Raw genomic sequence first — 19,314 nt, 5'->3', positions numbered from 1 at the left:
CTGTGGCAGCCTCTTGGGAATGTCCCTTGAGTTTCATATTAGTCCTCTGGAAATGACAAGACAGTCGTTCTGTCTGTCCTGAGATTCAGATGATCTACTCTACAGCAATAGGATTGTTTGTGCAGGCCATTCGAGTTCAGTAGCTCTTCTCCAGAAAACCATAAAATTTCTTCTTTTGAAAGTTCTTGACAGGCAGAATTTAGTTGTCAAGTTAGAGCATGGAATCACGACCCTGCATATTTTAAAATAAAACTTCTCTTGTTCTGCATATACTTTAGTGCTAAAAATGAAATAAAGCTTATTTTCTTAAAAAATGACCAAATAATAAAAGTCAGTGATTCTACCTTAGATAGAATGCTTTTAAAATGCATATGGAGGCCAGGCATGGTGGCTCACACCTGTAATCCCAGCACTTTGGGAGGCTGAGGTAGGTGGATCACTTGAGGTCAGGAGTTCGAGACCAACCTGGGCAACATGGTGGAACCTAGTCTCCATTAAAAATAAAGAAAAATTATCTGGGCATGGTGGTTCACATGCCTGTAGTGCTGGCTACTAGGGAGGCCGAAGCAGGAGAATTACTTGAACCCAGAAGGCAGAGGTTGCAGTGAGCTGAGATTGCACTACTGCACTCCAGCCTGGGCAACAGAGCAAGACTCTATCTCAAAAAAAAAATAAAAATAAAAATAAAAAAGCATATGGAGCTTCGCAAACATTGTGTCTATAAAGTCAAGGTATGATTCAAGGGCTAATGGAGAGAAACGCACACCTTAAAAGACAGATGAGAAAGAAGGTCAACTTCATCCTTAATTTGGTATTTATGTCCCTGTTGCCCAGAGAACGGTGTGAGAGCTCTTGATTCTCTGGGAAAGTTCTCTATGATATGATGTTATTTTATATATAGAGAGAGTATTACAGTAATTAGCATCAGTCTTACAAAAGGTTTTTTTTTTTTTTTTCAGATTTGTTCACAAGTCTGAAAAACAAATAATAGCACTGTTAGCTAAGTGAAGAGAATTCCGTGACTTAAAAATAGCACACATGCATCTGCCCTCAGATTTAAACACATCTACCTGGGTCACCTCTTCAACTGGCTTCTGCCTCACTCCTGCATTTGCATTTGATTTCTATTTTCGGCTGTGCATTATTAAGAAGCCACTTACCAAAGCAGAGAGAACATATTTTTTGGCCAAACAATAATATAATACTTGGTCATCCAAGCCCTTTAATATGGCCTGTACAGCTGGAAATGCTCCCTAGAAGAGACCCCTTTTAGAAACGTCCCTCCTCGCTCTCCCTAAGAGAGATGCTGGTTTAAGGCATTTTGGGGTTGATTATGATTGATCTAACACCTTTAGATAAAGCCAGGCAGCTTTCCTTCGCAATAAAACTTAACTAACTTGTAGGGGTTGCTAGTTTATATCTTTTTTTTTTTTTTTTTTTGAGACAGAGTTTCTCTCTTGTCGCCCAGGCTGGAGTGCAATGGCGCGATCTCGGCTCACTGCAACCTCCACCTCCCAGGTTCAAGCGATTCTTCTGCCTCAGCCTCCCAAGTAGCTGGGATTACAGACACTCTCCACCACACCCGGCTAATTTTTATATTTTCGGTAGAGACGGGGTTTCACCATGTTGACCAGGCTGGTCTCGAACTCCTGACCTCAGGTGATCCACCTGCCTCGGCCTCCCAAAGTGCTGGGATTACAGATGTGAGCCACCATGCCTGGCCCACTAGTTTATATCTTATGGTGTCACCTAGGGAGAAATTACAACAGAAATTTTAAATAGCTTTTCATTGGCTTCAAATATATTTTTAAAACATGCTATGATATAAATAGTTTATAAGAAAAACAAGCTAGTTTAATAAAAATGCAATTCAAAGTAGACTAACATTAAACAACCTAACATTAAGTCTTTTACCATTCTGGAACTTAAATATTAAAAGCATCTGTAATTTATTTTGAATTTTATACCTGGTCCTCTTATTTGTAAAGAAGATCATTAATAGTTGTAGATAAAAAAAATTGCTTCTCCTAAAGGATTACTAGAATGAAGCTGTATATTTAAAGTTGTTCAATACAGTTATAATTGTAGTTGGAATTAGGATTAATCTAATCATCCATCAATAAGAGAATGGTGGGCCGGGCACAGTGCCTCACGCTTATAATCCCAGCACTTTGGAAGGCTGGGGTGGGTAGATCACCTGTGCTCAAGAGTTGGAGACCAGCCTGGGCAACACGGCGAAACCCCATCTCTACTAAAAAATAAAAAAATTAGCTGGGTGTGGTTGTGTATGCCTGTAGCCACAGCCACTTGGGAGGCTGAGGCAGAAGGATCACTTGAGTCCAGGAGGTGGAGGTTGCAGTGAGCCAAGATTGTGCCACTGCACTCCAGCCTGGGTGTTAGAGCAAGACGCTGTCTCAAAAAAAAAAAAAAAAAAAAAAAAAAAAGAGAATGGTGAAATAAATGACAGTACATACATTCTATGAAACACTATGCAGCCACTGGATAAAGTGAGATAGACTTATATGTATTAACAGTGGAAAGATGTCTATAATGTTTGTTAAATTAGAAAAAGAGCAAATTGTAAAACAATATGAATAGCCCTCTTGTGTAAATGAACCCATTTACACAACCAAAACAAACCTTATGTGTATATATAGTATATGTTTATAAATGCATAGAAAAATATCTGGAAAGAAATCCTCCCAATTATTAACAGGGTTTAACTCTTGGGAGGAGAGTACGAGTGGGGACTTTTGCTTTTTACTCTAGACATCTACATTGTTTTAATTTTTACTAAGGAACATGCATAAACTTTGTAATTTAAAACATTTTTGAGATAATCGAAATCAGTGATAACTTGTGTTGTCTTGACTTAGATATGCTTGATTTAACAAGCTCTCATTTTATTACTAACATCTTATTGTAAAACTTTATAATTTATAACAAACAGGATTTTGTAAAAACAAGAAGCCCCAGACGTCATGATGGACCGTCGTGGGCTTGGTCCCTGGCGCCCTCTTGTGACCAGTGAGAGGATGTCAGCCTATTGCTATCCCCAGGATCCTGGGGTGCTGAGTGCAACTGGCCCAGTGGGAAAAGGGTGGTGATGGCATGGGGTAGCGTGGGGAATCAGATGGAAGCCAGTGCTACCCAAAGTGGACTCTTAAGGACTTCTTGAATGTCCCCAGACTATTAATATAGGGTGGTATTGAATTAATCATGCCTTAAATGCAGCACAGTTTTATTTTTATTTATTTTTCTCTTTTTTTTAAATTTTACTTTAAGTTCTAGGGTACATGTGCACAAAGTGCAGGTTTGTTACATATGTATACATGTGCCATGTTGGTGTGCTGCACCCATTAACTCGTCATTTACAATAGGTATTTCTGTTAATGCCATCCCGCCTCCCTACCCCTACCCCCCGACAGGCCCTGGTGTGTGATGTTCCCCGCCCTGTGTCCAAGTGTTCTCATTGTTCAGTTCCCACCTGTGAATGAGAACATGCGGCGTTTGGTTTTCTGTCCTTGTGATAGTTTGCTCAGAATGATGGTTTCCAGCTTCATCCATGTTCCTACAAAGGACATGAACTCATCCTTTTTTATGACTGCATAGTATTCTATGGTGTATATGTGCCACATTTTCTTAATCCAGTCTATCATTGATGGACATTTGGGTTCATTCCAAGTCTTTGCTATTGTGAATAGTGCCGCAATAAACATACGATGCAGCACAATTTTAATGTCAGGAGTCACTGCAGCTTGCTAACCCAGACATACTCTCAAGCTACATTCTTTCTTGGACCATTTGGAAATTGCTTTCAAGTACAGCTGTGTTTTCATGGACACTGGGTAGGTGTGGGCAGGGTAGGGAAAGAAATTAGTGGGGGAGAGGAAGGAACATAGAAATGACCTGATCGTATAAGGAGCCAGTGTGCCTTCTCATAGCCATAAAAAATGGGAGATAAACAAAAATGTGACAGGTTAGAAGAGGGGAGAGTGTGTACACATAGCAGGGACCAGTGCAAATGAGGAGGGTCAAAGAACTTTCTACAAGTCACTGAATTCTATTTGCAAAGTGACTTTACATACATTCTTCCTTCTTCTGTGTTCTATAGGTGTAAAATGGTGATAACTTTGCTTTAAAAAATCAACAGGTAGAAAATGGAATCACCGCAGAGTCCTTACAATATCCCCTTAAGGAGGGATTTAATAATATGACCTGCGTGAATATTTTGTTAGCCATTAAGGAGCCTCCCTCAAAGATCACTGCGAAACCTTACCTAAAGAAGGGGTGGGTTTTGAAGGTCTGGGTGGTGGTGGCGGTGGCGGACAAGGTCCTGGTGCTGCAGCTTTCACAGTGAGGTTAAGGCTGAAGGTTCCATTGAGCACATACGTGTGATTCACAGTATGATTGGTGGAAACAAACAGGCCAGTATTATCCCCGAAGCTCCACTTGTAGTTAATGGTAGAATAATTGAGGAAGTGGCTAGGATCATGAATCAGGACATCAAACATAATGGGGAGATCTTTGAGGAAGGTTTCGTCGGATGAATTTCGATCGTTCTTCTGGAACATAGTCACAAACACAGGAATCTGATCTAAAAGATACATCCCCCAAAGAAATAAAGAATGCATGATTGCTTGATTGTAAGTGGAGGGCTTCGACGATGCTTTTAGGTTGAAATATTAAAATGAGGGATAATTTAGCATTATTTTCCTTTTCACATGCAAGTTTTCTGGGGTTTCCCTAAGCTATTCTGGAAAACAGATGAACTACAACTAATTAAATACACAAGCTTAGGTGGGCCAGATGCATTGTAACCTAACCCCGAACACTTGGCCTTACCTCTTTTTTAACCCATTGACGTCAACAGAATGAAGTGCCTCATCCTCAGTTAGAGTTCACACCACTCACCTGTTACCACGTACACATCTTTCACTTGTGCGATGGGAACATATGCCCGTCCATGTCTTCTGTAGACAGTCACTTCCATGAGTTGAGGCCCAAGTGTCACATTGGCTGTGTTCACAGAAACTCTCACTGAACATCGTCCCAATTTCTGGAAATACTGACCTTTGGGAGGATGGAAATTTTTAGTTATTGGCTGCATTATATCATCATTATAGGAAGCTGTTCCTTAAAGACTAGCTACCACCATTTATAGATTGCTCTGAGGAGGGAAAATAGGATGGGCCTGTGGTGCTGCTTCAGAAAGGGAGATGGTGCTCATTTTAATGTAAAATCTTATAAAACAAACCCACAGTTGTATACATGTAATTGTATACAGTTGGTTAAAATTTAAAAAGCTGTTTAGTGGCATAAAACAGTTAGCCCTTAGTTTACAAATAAATGCTGTTTGTGCTAAGTAATTTGGCACTTGAAATACATGTTTTCCCCATAGAAAATACATTTAATATAATGATGAGGTGTCCAGAAGAGTTAAAAAAATTATTTATCCAATAACCTACCTTATTTTTGTTACTATTTCCGCTATATTATTAAGTGGATTTTTAAAAGGGGACTGGAATCCTCCATCTCCTAATAGTATTTGTATATAAAAATACAGCAAGTGGCTGGGCGCGGTAGCTCATGCCTGTAATCCCAGCATTTTGGGAGGCCGAGGCAGGCGGATCACGAGGTCAGGAGATGGAGACCATCCTGGCCAACATGGTGAAACTCCATCTCTACTAAAATACAAAAAATTAGCTAGGTGTGGTGGTACGAGCCTGTAATCCAAGCTACTCGGGAGGCTGAGGCAGACGAATTGGTTAAACCCGGAGCGGGGATTCCAGTGAGCTGAGATCACACCACTGCACTCCAGCCTGGTGACAGAGCGAGACTCTGTCTCAAAAAAATAAAAATAAAAATCCCGTAAGTGATGAAATAGAGGATGGCAGACATAAAACAGAATGGGGTGGTTCCACAGGCACTTTCCTAGGACACCCCTGAGTCATTCCTTTTCTTTGTCCAACCCTCCCTGCTGCTAGCTAACAGGTGGAAGTAATTCCTCTCCTTCAGGGCTCAAGGACATTTAAACAAATTTTAAAACTCTGTAACTCCTCTTACTATCATTCCCAAATCAAGAACTTTTCTAATCCTGCCAGGGGGCCTGGTTTAGACCTGTCACTGACTGGGTATCTTAGGTTGCATGCTTTTGAGACCGGGTTGTTTCAAGACCCCGTGTATCACACCGTCAAACGTGTGAGAAAAACACACTGGTCTCTCCAGGGATGTGTGGTTTGGAATCCTCCTTCACGTTGAGATGCAGGGGTAGTTCCATCAGAAGTTATAAGGGGAAGAGATGTCTCTCAGGGGTTATTCGTGAGGAAAATGTTAGTTTCAGCTCTGAGAGGTGAGACCATACTTAGTTGAGGGAGAATATCAGTTAACTCTGAGACCTCAGTGGAAGACAGAAATTCAAGGCAGTCTTGTTAGACAAACAGAGCAAGTTCTAGGCTGAAAGTTGATTTTAAATACAGACATTTGATCTGGTTAAGTTATTGGAATGTTTACTAGGCTAAAGAGTCGGCGAGTGTTAGTGAACATAAGTGACTCCATGCAAAATGTCAGAATTCTGTCATGAGAGTGACAAGTCAAAGAAATGTTTGGTGAGTTGGCTAATGGGGTCGTAATGGCAGTGAAAAATAAGTTAGCTTTAAGGCAATTGATTTATATAGATGAGCATAATATTTGACATAGCTTATACTCTGTTCAATGGGTATGTATTGTTAATATTTTGTCCTGATTTGTAAATAAGTTAATTGAAGGAAGAGGAGCTCTCTCTAATCTGTGATGAAAGATGAAATATTTAGTAATCTGGAGGCTGCTTGATTGGTAGCAATTTTCAAATACTCAGTGCCAGGTGGCACCTAGTGACATTTTAAACTAAGAATTTAGCAGCCTAATTAATAATAAGCTCAATTTGCTCCTTCTAAAAGTAATCATTTCCCCAATAATACAACAAAATGAATACCATTTGTAATTTAAAAAAAGACAGAATGGGCTAGGTCAAAGCGGAACAGTAGTTATTTTATTTGTACACAATGAAATATCGTGCAGCCATTAAAACAATGTATAAAAATTAAAAAAATCATATCATCAAATGCTAATGATAGTAAGCAAAAATGTGTATGTGATCTTAATAATGATCTTAAATACTAGCAAAGAAAACACCATAATAATTAACAATTATAATCTCTGGTATTAATTATGGATAATTTTTATTTTTTATTTGTACCTTTTCTGAGGATTTCCTACAAATAAATAGCACATGCTTCTTTAAATCTTAAAAATTCTTTAGAGAACATAAAAAAACTAAAGAATCAATCAATGAATGCTCATCAATGTGCCATTCTGTTTTTTGTTTGTTTGTTTGTTTTTCGAGATGGAGTCTCACTCTGTTGCCCAGGCTGGAGTGCAATGGCTCAATCTCCTCTCACTGCAACCTCCACCTCCCGGATTCAAGTGATTCTCCTGCCTCAGCCTCCTGAGTAGCTGGGATTACAGGTGCGCACCACCACACCTGGCTAATTTTTGTATTTTTAGTAGGGACGGGACTTCACCATGTTGGCCAGGCTGGTCTTGAACTCCTGACTTCAGGTGATCCACCCGCCTCCGCCTTCCAAGGTGCTGGGATTACAAGTGTGAGCCACATGCCCGGTCTCCATGTGCCATTCAAATAAATAAGTGTTAGCATTTTTTCTTGTTATGGTTTTAGGTAGAAAAAAATTAAGTGGTTTTGTTTTTTTGAAAAAGAGCTTAATCTTTTTGTTTTTCTCTCTTTTTAACTCTTCGGTGTCCTGGAGATTTGGCAAGGTTAACCAAGATTTCATTTTTATCTCTCACTGTTCACTCATGCTAAGGAAAGTTAGCAGGGTGACTGTTATTAACTCTCTGTGTTATCATTCTCAATTATAGAGTAAGAAAAGAGAAGGTTGAAATTTTAAGGAAAGGTAAAGAAGAAGCTTAGGGGTTTGTAAAAGCCAACCAAGTGTGTGGAAGACGTAGATGAAATTCCATCTTCTCCATCCGGGGTGGTGAGGAAAAGGTTTCCCATCAGGGAAGACGTTATGATGGCTTTGGCCGGTGCCATTTTCCCCGTCACTGTCCTCTGACCATGCTGTCCAGTTGTAAACATACGGATCAGCAGATAAACCAGCCTCTAAACAGAGATAGAAACCAGCCATGAGTGTTATCTAGGCTCAGAAAACCCAATGTGCATGCATCACTGAATTAAACACTTTTTCGTATTTTTTTCATAACTAGTTTAAAAGTAGTTAGACAACTAAACACTTAATATGTAGAATCCATCCAATAGTATGCTTATGACTTGTGCACTTTTCTGAATTTGTTATATTTCAATGAAGGTTTTATACAAAGCAATTATTCAGAAAAATCCAATGTAGAGATATCATTTAATGTATTTTTCTTCCTATCGGGTTTTCAAGTCACAATCCTATTCAAATCAGAGATACTTTATCTTTTTATTTTGACACACCTCTTTCTGTAGGTTTTTTTCCTGACACACTTGACATCATGACTGTTTATTCATAAAGACTCCGGCACACATGTCTAAGAATAAGAGCATTGTCCTAAATAGCCCTGACACCATTATCACCCCAATCAAGGTTTGTATATTTGGCTATTTTTGATGCTTTAAATGATTTTTAAAATCCCTCTTTCTGTCTCTAGATGTAGATAGATATATATAGCTATCCTTATATCTACATATGATTATAGATATATGGAAAGAAGCAGTTATGACAAAGTGCTAAAATTGTTGAATCTAGGTGACTATAGTTAACAACAATTTGTTGTATATTTCAAAACAGCTAGAAGAAAGATTTAGGCTGGGTGCAGTGGCTCACACCTGTAATCCCAGCACTTTGGGAGGCCGAGATGGGCGGATCGCTTGAGGTCAGGAGTTCGAGACCAGCCTGGCCAACATGGTGAAACCCCGTTTCTACTAAAAATACAAAAATTAGCCAGTCATGCTGCATGCGCCTATAATCCCAGCTACTTGGGACGCCGAGGCAGGAGAATTGCTTGAACCTGGGAGGTGGAGGTTGCAGTGAGCCAAGATTGTGCCACTGCACTCCAGCCTGGGTGACAAAGTGAAACTCTGTCTCAAAAAAGAAAAGAAAAAAAAAAGAGAAAGATTTGGAATGTTCTCAGCACAAAGAAATGATAAATATTTGAGGTGGATATCCCAATCACCCTGATTTGATCACCATAAATTGTATGCATGTATCAAAATAACACGCATAGCCCAGAAATGTGTATGATTATCATGTATCAATAAAAAAATTAATCAAAAATGGCTGAAAGATCTGAATAGACAATTTCTCAAAAAAGTCATACAAATCACCAACAGTATATCACTGTTGGTGGGAATGTAAATTAGTACAACCACTATGGAAAACAGTATGGAGGTTCCTCAAAAAACTAAAAATAGAGCTACCATATGAGCCAGCAATCTCACTGCTGGGAATATATACAAAAGAAAGGAAATCAATCCATCAAAGAGATGTATGTATTCCTGTGTTGCAGCAGTATTCACAATAGTCAGGATATGGAACCAAATTAAGTATCCATCAATAGATAAATGGATAAAGAAAATGTGATGGAATATTACTCAGTCATAAAAAGAATTAAATCCCATCGTTTGCAGCAACATGGATGGAACTGGAGGCCATGATGTTAAGTGCAATAAGCTAGGCATAGAAAGACAAATGCTGACTGGGCGCGGTGGCTCACGCCTGTAATCCCGGCGCTTTGGGAGACCGAGGCGGGCGGACCACGAGGTCAAATGTTTGAGACCAACCTGGCCAACATGGGGAAACCCCGTCTGTACTAAAAATACAAAAATTAGCTGAGCATGGTGGTGGGTGCCTGTAATCCCAGCTACTTGGGAGGCTGAGGCAGGAGAATCATTTGAACCCGGGAGGCAAAGACTGCAGTGAACCAAGATCGCGCCATTGCACTCCAGCCTGGGTGACAAGGCAAGACTCCATCTCACCACGCCTGGCTAATTTTTATATTTTTAGTAGAGATGGGGTTTCACCATGTTGGCCAGAATGGTCTTGAACTCCTGACCTCAGGTGATACACCTGCCTCGGCCTCTCAAAGTGCTGGGATTACAGGCATGAGCCATGGTATCCGGCCATTAACTCCGTTTTTTGAGCATGTACCATTCTGACAAGATAATTTCCCTTGATGTATTTGCACCTTTGGTCCTCTTTAACATAGATAGAGAGCTTATTTCTTTCACTAAGAGCAAAGCAAAACCAAAATATACACATTTTAGCATTTGCGCCAGCTACACAGCATTTGCTTGAGAAATCCTTGTCAGCCTAAATTAGACTGATCAGCAAACATCTGTCAAATTGGCTATTCTTTGAGTAGCCAAAAGAGTTCCAAGTAATAAAAGCAAAATCTGAGACTCAGCAAGGTATTCTCTGTCCAGTCAACTGGACACTAAGGAAAAGCAGGAGGTGGTGATGTGGCTTTTGAAGAGGGCTCCAAGCAAGGGAGAGCCACTGGTTTGCTGCAGTAGGTCTGGCTGACGTTGATGTTGATGAAGGCACTGGGTAGGACCACACACTCACTGTCTCTGTCATCCAGCTCATGGAGTGCAGTGGCAAGGGATGAGATCAGCATCTGGCACTTACAGAAGCACCTGTGATCATTAAGGTTTAGAAACTGGGTCTCCAGTAGTTTAGGAGAATACTGTGTTCTTACCATTTCTGCAGTTCTTCTCATAGACTATGTTGCCATTGGCATCTTCCTTTTGGCATCTAGGGAATATCAGGTTCACCGCAAATGTTATATTTGAGCCCACGAGGGCTGGTGAGTCACTGGTCAGGACCGCCTGCACACGGCCTCCTAGGGTATAAAAAAGTGGGGCTCGATGATCCAGCATCTTTTTCCTTTCGTTCATAAACATTTAGAGCTAACTTTATTAATAAGGACCAGAGGACCCATATGCCTCTTTATAATATATTAAATTTATATTTTGTATTCCTCACTTTAGCTTTCAGAGTACAACACTCTAGAAGATAAATTAAAAAATAAATCAGACCAGTTAAGAATTCTCTAATCACAGCAAGAACATTTACCTATGATAATAAAACAAATCAGCTCTGTTGGGTTAAGGAGACAAGTTTTAGAAGTCTGCATTTTTAAATCTCGAAACCAATGGCTGAAGGATGCATTCTTTTATCTAAAAAGAAAGATTTTCCGTTTCTGATAAGCCACACCTTTGAGACAGTAAAAATGGCTTTGGGGTGACTGGGTTTCTGAAGATGATCATTCCCAGGTTGGCTAAATAGGTTTAAAGCTAAATCTGCTCACCCTTCAAAAGTATTCCAAGAGCTACCAATGTGGAAATTTCTAAGGAGATTACTTGTGGTTTAGGAAGTGATAGTGTTGGGCTAAAGAAAATATTGCCAAGTCCAGGTGCCTCCCCACTTGGTAATGAGAGCACTGTCATTCGTGGAAATGACGTGAGCCGTGTGATCTAAAAGGCTTTACCATCTACAAGACTTACTGAAGTAGGAAATTGCAGGTGTTTGGTTTGAATCTTTTGACTTACCCTTCCAGGAGTTTTTCCACCTCATGTCTCCCCGCTTCCACACTGGGTAGAGTTTTTCATTCCAGTCATTTTCATCAGAAGACCAGCCATTTAATTGATTGTGCTCCCTCATGTAAGCAGAAGGTCTTTCATTGCCCAGCACATCATGAAATCCTGTATCAATATTCGAAACAAATTCCATTCTTCATTTAGTAATCACCTCACAGTGGTTAAAGAAACTTTTTATTTCTTACTGTTGAAAAGCACATACATAATATATTCAGTGCATCAAGTAAACAGAGGGTGCTTTGTTTTTTAAAGGAAGTCTCCTGGAAATACCTTGATTACAAGCATTCAGACCCTATGTCTTTATGAACTTTAAATGAATCAAAGAAAAATTTTGAAAGTCAATATTTTTTAGCCATCACTTGGCTTCTCAATACACATCCTCTGAATATTTAAATTTGATACAATATTATTAGGAAAACACTGATGCCAATAATCTTCAGATTTTTGCATTTTTTTTTCCCATTCTGAACTACTCACTTGGCTAAAGGAATGCCAGGCTCAGGAATGCCTTCAAGATTCCAAGCGACACGTACTAGTACCAGGAAGTTTACTGATAAACAGCTTTTTAATGGTCTGTCTTGGTGAATGTTCCATATACTTTGTGTAGTCTACATTTGTTGGGTAGAGTGTTTTCTTTTTAAATGTCATTTATGTCAAGCTAGTTGATAGTGTTTTTTTGAATTTTCTGTGTTCCTACTGATTTTCTACTTGTTATTTGAGTTACTGAGAGAAAAATCTTGAAATCTCCAACTATATTGTGGTTTTTCCAATTGCCTGTTTCTTCTTCCAGTTTTTGCTGTATGTATTTTGAAGCTTTGTTGTCAGGTGCATACTATACATTTAGAATTGTTACAGCTTCTTGATGAACTGACCCTTTTCTCAATAAGAATTGATGCTCTTTATCCCTGGTAATATCCCTTGTTCTAAAGAATACTTTGATATGAATGCTTAGTGTTTAACTGGTATATCTTTTTCCATTCTTTTACTTTAAAAAATGTTCAGATTGATGTATGTTTCTACTCATCCTTACATTTTAAACCTGTCTGCATTTTTATATTTGAAGTGAGTTTCTCATAGAAAGCATATAATTGGATGTTTAAAAATCCAGTCTGGCAATCTCTGCCTTTTAGTTGCAGGGTTTAGATAATTCACATTTAATGTAATGATCAATATGATGAAATTTTAAGTGTACTACCTTGTTATTTGTTTTCTATTTGTTCCACTTGTTCTTTTTTCCTTCTTTTCCTGTACTCTTTGGAGTTACATTTGGATTCCATTTTATCTCTACAACTAGCTTGTTAGTGATACCTCTTTCACTTACTTTGTTCTGAGTGGTTGCTCTAGGTTTGTAATATTACAGTTCTTTTAAAAATCTTTCTAATCTTGAGTTAGTGTCTGCAATTTTGCCTTGCCTGACCAGTCTGGTGGTCACATGGTCTCTTTCTTTTGAGAATTGTAGCAGACTGGTTGGTTGCCTCCAAGAAGCTGTTTCCCGCCTGCACGCCTCCTCCTATTTTCCCCTTGCTGGCAGAGTTTCTACTCTAACAGTTCAAAATTCCAGAGTATCACTTCCTAGTTTTCCTTACAATTTGGGCAGGAGCAGATAGATGATTTGATCCTGGCCAGTGAGAGCTGAGAAGCAGTCTTCTGGGAACTTCTGAGAAAGGTTTTCCTCCTTTATAACAAGAGATATGTGAGAACAAACTCAATTTTTTCCTCCTCAGAATTGATTTTGGAGATGGTAGTGTAATGATGTGATGCCCAGAGCTATGGCAGCCATATTTAACTATGAGGACACAAATCTGAGGAAACAGCTAACACATTAAGGGTGTCAGAGTGGAAAGATGAAAAGAAATGGAGCCTTCAATGAAACTGTTGGGCTGTTGCTCTAGTCTTGCTTACCTCGGGACTGACTAAGATAATAAATGTCTTAACCTATTTTGTTACAGCCCAAAGCTCAATTATCTGTATTCCTCAGCCAATGGTCTTAAATTGTTCTCCCATTAATTTCTGTGGTTCTATGTCTTGGCCTGGCTATAGACTCTTGGAGGAGAGAAACTCTGTCTTGTTCTTCTCTTAAATCCTGGGAGAGATCCTCCATGAGGTGTGGTATTGAGTGGGTGCTCAGAGAAGCCATATTGGATGCATGTCTCTGACCTATTCCTTCTATTCCTCTTCTCTGGTAGGAGAAGGGAGCAACACGTTCCCTTCTTCTCCAGGAGGCAGAGAGAATGGGAAAGAGCAGCAAAGTCGGAGTCATGGAACATGTTTTCTAGCCTTGGTTCTGTTATTAAACAGGATGTGTGACCTCAGGCCATGTGTCTTCTCTGGGCCTTCACATCTGACAAAAGCCAAATGTCCTGTGATTCTATGAGATTGCTCCTATTTGGAAATAGACATTAAGTGAGGGGAGGACATTTGTGTTTATCAATAAGTATTTGTAATTGGAAATTCACTTGAGTCATATGAAAAGAACTAAGATTATTTAGTTCAAATCCCTTCATTTTATATATGAAGAAATTCAGGCCTAGGGAAATGATATGATTCACCTAGGGTCATCTTTAGTAGAAATCAAGATTCACATCTTTTGATTCCCAGGACAAGGACAAGTTCTTTCCACTGTTCCAGAGAGTCTTCCTCTTCCTCAGATCTTGAAAGAAAGTTATTGTTTCCAGGAACATAATCAAAACGCAGATTTCTCTTCCGATTTTAAATGTCAGAAGCCCAGGAAAAGTATAAACTTAAAAGGAGAGTTACAAGGGATAGGCACATAGGTCAATGGAATAGAAGAGAGAATCCAGAAATAGACCCACACAAGCATGCTCTACTAATTTTTTTTTTTTTGAAGAGATGGGGGTCCCACTATGTTGCTCAGGCTGGACTCAAACTCCTGGGCTCAAGTGATCTACCTGCCCCAGCCTTCCGATTAGCTAGGACCACGGGCAAGCACTACAGTGCCTGGCTTGATTTTGGACAAAGATGCAAAAACAAGCCAATGGAGGGAAGATAGCCTTTTCAACATATGGTGCTGTAAAAAAGCAAAAAGCATAGGTGAAATCTTCAGGATCTAGGACTAGGCAAGAATTCTTAGACTTGACATGAACACAACCCGTAACAGGAAATTGGAACTCATTAAAATAAAAAACCTTTGCTCTCTGAAACATGACATGAAAGAGGATGAAAAGGCAAGCTACAGACTGGGAGAAATTATTTGTAAACTACACTTCCAATAAAGGACTAGTATTTAGAATATATAAAGAATTTTCAAAACTCACTATAAGAAAACCACGGGATTCAATTAGAAAAATTGGTAAAAATTAATGAAATGATATTTCACCATTTCATTCATCTCATGGCAAATAAACACACAAGAAGATATTCAACATCATTAGCCAGTAGTGAAATATCACTATATCCCTATCAGTAAGACCTAACTAAAAAGCAGTGACAACATCAAATGCTTGCAAGGATGTAGAGAAACTGGATTGCTCACACATTACTAGTGGAAATGTAAAATGGTACAGCCACTCTGTTAGTTTCTTGCAAAACTAAACATGCAACTATCATACAACCAAGAAATTGTACCCTTTGGCATGCATCCCAGAGAAACAAAACTGATATTCTCACAGAGATCTGCACATGAATATTTATAGCAGCTTTATTCATAATAGCCCAAATTGAAATAACCCAGATGTCCTTTAATGGGTGAATGGTTAAGCAAACTGTGGTACATCCATACCATGGAATACTACTCTGTGACAAAGAGGAACAAACTATTGATGCAGTTACTTCAATAAATCAATAAAGTTCCAGGAAATTATGTTGGGTTTTAAAAAAAGCAAATCTCAAAAGGTTACATACTGGATAATTCCATTTGTATAGAATTTTGGAAATTACAAAATGATAAAAATGGAAACCAGATTAGTGGTTGCCAGGGACTGGGTGAGGTTTGGAAAGAGGGAAGTAGATTTGGCTATACATCTATAGCCATGAGAATACTTTGGTGATGGAGCTCTGCTGTGTTTTCACTGTATCAATGTCAATATCTGGGCTGTGATGTCCTGTTTTGCATGATGATACCACTGGGGCAAACCAGGTAAAGGGTGCATGGGGATCTCTCTGTATTATTTCTTACAACAGTATGTGAATCTATAAATACCTCACAATAAAAAGTTGAATTTAAAAATAAAGGCCGGATGCAATGGCTCATGCCTGTAATCCCAACACTTTGGAAGGCTGAGGGTGGGCGATTGCCTGAGCCCAGGAGTTCCAGACCAGCCTGGGCAACATGGCAAAACCCTGTCTCTACAAAAATTTAAAAAATAAAATAAACCCATCCGGATAAGGTGGCTCATGCCTGTAGTCCTAGCATTCTGGGAGGCCAAGGGAGGACTGAGCCCAGAAGTTTGAGGCCAGCCTGGGCAATGTAGTAAGATCCCATTTCTACAAAAAATACAAAAATTATCTGGGTGTGGTGGCACGTGCCTGTGGTCCCAGCTACTCAGGAGGCTGAGGTGGAAGATCACCTTTAGCCCAGGAGTTGGAGGCTGCAGTGAGCTGTGATCACACCACTGCACTCCAGCCTGGGTGAGAGTAAGACCCTGTCTCTAAAAAAATTGATTAAAAAAAAAAAAACCCAATAGTAAGCAGATTTTAAAAGAAAAATAAAAGCCTGTGGGGGTGGGTTTTGGGGGCAATCAATGTGAAGGTAAATTTGAGGTCGCACCCAGTGCTGCAGCCGACTCTGCCTCCACACTTTGGCATCCTTGCTGTGTCCACCAGCAGAGAGGTGGTGGCTGGGCTGCCTCCACCTACCTTGTCCACACTTTCTCCTTCCTTCAGGGCTACGAATGGAAAATGGTAGGAAATCTTTAGTGCTTGATACACTGCTACATTCTGCCTGCCCTTATTTTTTTCTGGGCAGAATATTTAGTCCAGAGCAAGGTGAACCTGGTGAATGGCTGGGTTTTGTTACACTGCCCAAGAGGCTGAGGACTCCTCTCGAGCTGACAGCGCTGATTCGGCCTCCTGCTAATCTGTTTTATTGAGCAGAGCGAAGTGGACTGGTGAAAGAGGGTGGAATAATAGCAGGTGTCCCCCATCGGGTCTATTCTGTGTTCCTTCGTCTTTAAAGTAGCCTGTCCTGGGAGGTATCCTGAGGGTGGGTGCAGGTCTGCCTCCGTAGGAACAATCCCCACCATGCACGTCTCTCACGCCAAGCAGCTGATCTCACAAGAACACAATTACCCAGTTTTGCAAATGAGGAAACGAAAACTCCTCGTTTTGAAGGAAATGAGGAAATGGAGCAAAGCCACTGGAGACCCAGCCCCTAGGCTGGCGGGGAGCCCGAGCCTGTCCAACCCCAAACCCGGGCAGGAAGGACAGAGGTCGGGATGGAAGGCTGCCTCCTCAACTTACCCGCTGTGTGGCTTGGGGCGAGTTCCTTGCCCACTCTGTGGCCCGTGGCCTCGTGTGGGAAGCGGGACCATCACAGTGCCGGGCTCCGCGGGCTGCTAGGAGGACGCGCGGCGCACTGCGGGCCGGGAACGTGCTGCGCGCTGACACCGGGTCAGCTCCCTGTGATGGGACTTCCTTTCCAAAAACGTAGGCGTTTTCCCGGGTCGCAGTCGCAGTCGGGAGACTGAGGGTTAGGGCGCGGCCGCGGGGTCTCCTGGGCCGGGGCGCGGCCCACGTCTCAGGCCTCTGCGGCTCTGACCAGAAGCCGCTGCGCCTTTGGCCGCTTCCCACCCGTCCCGTCCCCGCAATCCCAGGCCCAGGGTTACAGCGGCTCAGCTCTCTTCCTCTCGCGAATCTGCACACTGCTTCAGTGGTCTGGACCCTGGCTGCATAGGCAGATCCCAAGAGGAACTTTTAAAACAAGGATCCTCTGACCCCACTCCCAAAGATTCCGGTTTCATTGCGTGGGTATCAGTATTGTTAAAAATGCCCTGGCCTCTCCTGCCTGACCAGGGTAGAGAGCCTGGGCTTCAGCTCCTCTCCCAGCAAGCTCCTGCAGGTCTGTGAGGAAGCCCCGCAGGAGGAGCAATAGCTTCAGGGCTGGGGAGATTCGTAAATTTGCCTCCAGATTGGAGACCCCATTTCATGTGAGGTCTCCACCCTTTTGGATGGAAGCTGGACATAGTTTAGTTGGTGGAGTTGCTTTGTTCTGTGGCCGGAGGCTGTCCAACCCTCCCCCAACCACTGTCTGGCAAGAATGGGTTGCAATTGCAATGGAAAAGAAGCTTCACAAGAGAAGGGCAGCATAGTTTTTACTTTCCATGAGCCGAAAGCAAAGAATGGAGCTGGAGGCATTTTGCTGTAGTTTCAGCCTTCCCAACAGTTTGCAGAAGAAGAGATGAGTGAGCCAGAGATGAAAGCTTCCTGAAGAACTTCAGTCCAACCTCTAGTTCAGAGGATATTATTAGCCATCATTTCAGCCAATGGCCAGAGAATGGGTTAAACATAGAAATTAAGGGTTACTCACGTTTGGCGGCATCAAGTGGCAATCTTGCAGCCAGGAGCAGAAATCCCAGGAAATAGTAGAGACATTCCATGCTGAATTCTCACGGACGCAGGCACTCAAGGTTTAACTCTGAATTCCTCTGGGCCCGTCCACCAAGAGCAACAGTGTTCTTCTGGCATCTGTGGTGCCTCCCTCTCTATTTTAATTAAATACAGGGCCTCGGGGAGGATCATGTGATGGTATTAAGCGGCACTGCCTGATCTGGTCTCTCAAGTTCAACCTCTTACAACTCATGTGCTTATGACTCACTCCTTCTTGGCATCTATTTATTCACTTTTCAGATGCACATTATTTCAATTTTGTGATTCCACATTTACTAGATTCAAGGAGTTTTTTTCCTATAGACTCTATTTCAATATTCATTTTTTTTTTTTGAGATGGAGTCTCACACTGTCTCCCAGGCTGGAGTGCAATGGCACGATCTCAGCTCACTGCAACTTCCACCTCCCAGGTTCAAGCCATTCTCCTGCCTCAGCCTCCTGAGTAGCTGGAATTACAGGTGCCCGCCACCATGCCCGGCTAATTTTTTGTATTTTTAGTAGAGGCAGGTTTCACTATGTTGGCCAGGCTGGTCTCGATCTCCTGACCTTGTGATCTGCCCGCCTCGGCTTCCCAAAGTGCTGGGATTACAGGCATGAGCCACCGCGCCTGGCTCAATATTCTTTACCAAATAAAATTTCAATCCTCCAGCCTCACTGATTATCGACTTACTGTGGTTCCTATACTGCATCAGGCACCCAGCTCACGTTTAGAGTTCACAGTTACGCACCCTTTCCTAAGATGTAGTTGTCCACCTGCTCCTGTGCTCGTGATTGCTTGTATATTTTTTTCCTCCAAGAGGAAGCAAAGATGGGGGAGGTGTCTTATCAATCATTTGAAATTGTGGAATACATAAGTGGATGATAACATGAATGTTGTGCCAGGATGTGCTGGAAACAGCTGCCCAGGCCTCTGGTAGCTGAGAAATTTACTCAAAAGCACATTTAGAATATCTGTGCAATTCCATATAACTTTTGTAATAACCTGCATAATTTTTGGTAACTGCTCTCAAAGCATTTATGTGTTGCATTACTCAGAGCCAATTGCATAAAACGTTCTGTGTATTTTTTCATATTATAGAAAGCAGGCATTAAATGTACAAACAAGTGTG

At 41.1% G+C, this 19,314-nt stretch overlaps 1 protein-coding gene across 5 annotated transcripts in view, besides 2 other annotated features; it reads right to left on the bottom strand.

The window, feature by feature from the left end:
* GPNMB (glycoprotein nmb) overlaps nucleotides 1-18,278 on the bottom strand; it is a 28,334-nt gene extending 10,056 nt beyond the window's left edge. For 4 of the 5 annotated variants that reach the window (XM_005249578.4, NM_001005340.2, XM_017011678.3 and 1 more), the window contains exons 1-6: nucleotides 18,126-18,278; nucleotides 11,594-11,746; nucleotides 10,741-10,884; nucleotides 7,988-8,161; nucleotides 4,915-5,073; nucleotides 4,280-4,597 (exon numbers count right to left, since the gene is read on the bottom strand). In XM_005249578.4, coding sequence (XP_005249635.1) covers nucleotides 4,280-4,597; nucleotides 4,915-5,073; nucleotides 7,988-8,161; nucleotides 10,741-10,884; nucleotides 11,594-11,746; nucleotides 18,126-18,195 — 1,018 coding nt within the window. In that variant the 5' untranslated portion in view covers nucleotides 18,196-18,278. The remainder of the gene's footprint in view (nucleotides 1-4,279; nucleotides 4,598-4,914; nucleotides 5,074-7,987; nucleotides 8,162-10,740; nucleotides 10,885-11,593; nucleotides 11,747-18,125) is intronic. The other variant, XM_047419776.1, reaches the window with a different exon arrangement.
* Nucleotides 6,076-6,276: a silencer, noted in NCBI's record as "peak6433 fragment used in MPRA reporter construct". NCBI's record gives its function as "represses an SCP1 promoter by STARR-seq MPRAs in K562 erythroleukemia cells {active_cell/tissue: K562}" and the evidence as "EXISTENCE:reporter gene assay evidence [ECO:0000049][PMID:32103011]".
* Nucleotides 16,707-16,826: an enhancer, noted in NCBI's record as "active region_25723". NCBI's record gives its function as "activates an Ori minimal core promoter by ATAC-STARR-seq in GM12878 lymphoblastoid cells {active_cell/tissue: GM12878}" and the evidence as "EXISTENCE:reporter gene assay evidence [ECO:0000049][PMID:35858748]".
* Nucleotides 18,279-19,314: the final 1,036 nt, after the last annotated feature.

This window comes from Homo sapiens, chromosome 7 (genome assembly GCF_000001405.40).
Source record: "Homo sapiens chromosome 7, GRCh38.p14 Primary Assembly".
NCBI lineage: Eukaryota > Metazoa > Chordata > Mammalia > Primates > Hominidae > Homo > Homo sapiens.
This window is presented reverse-complemented; position numbering and strand designations above follow the sequence as displayed.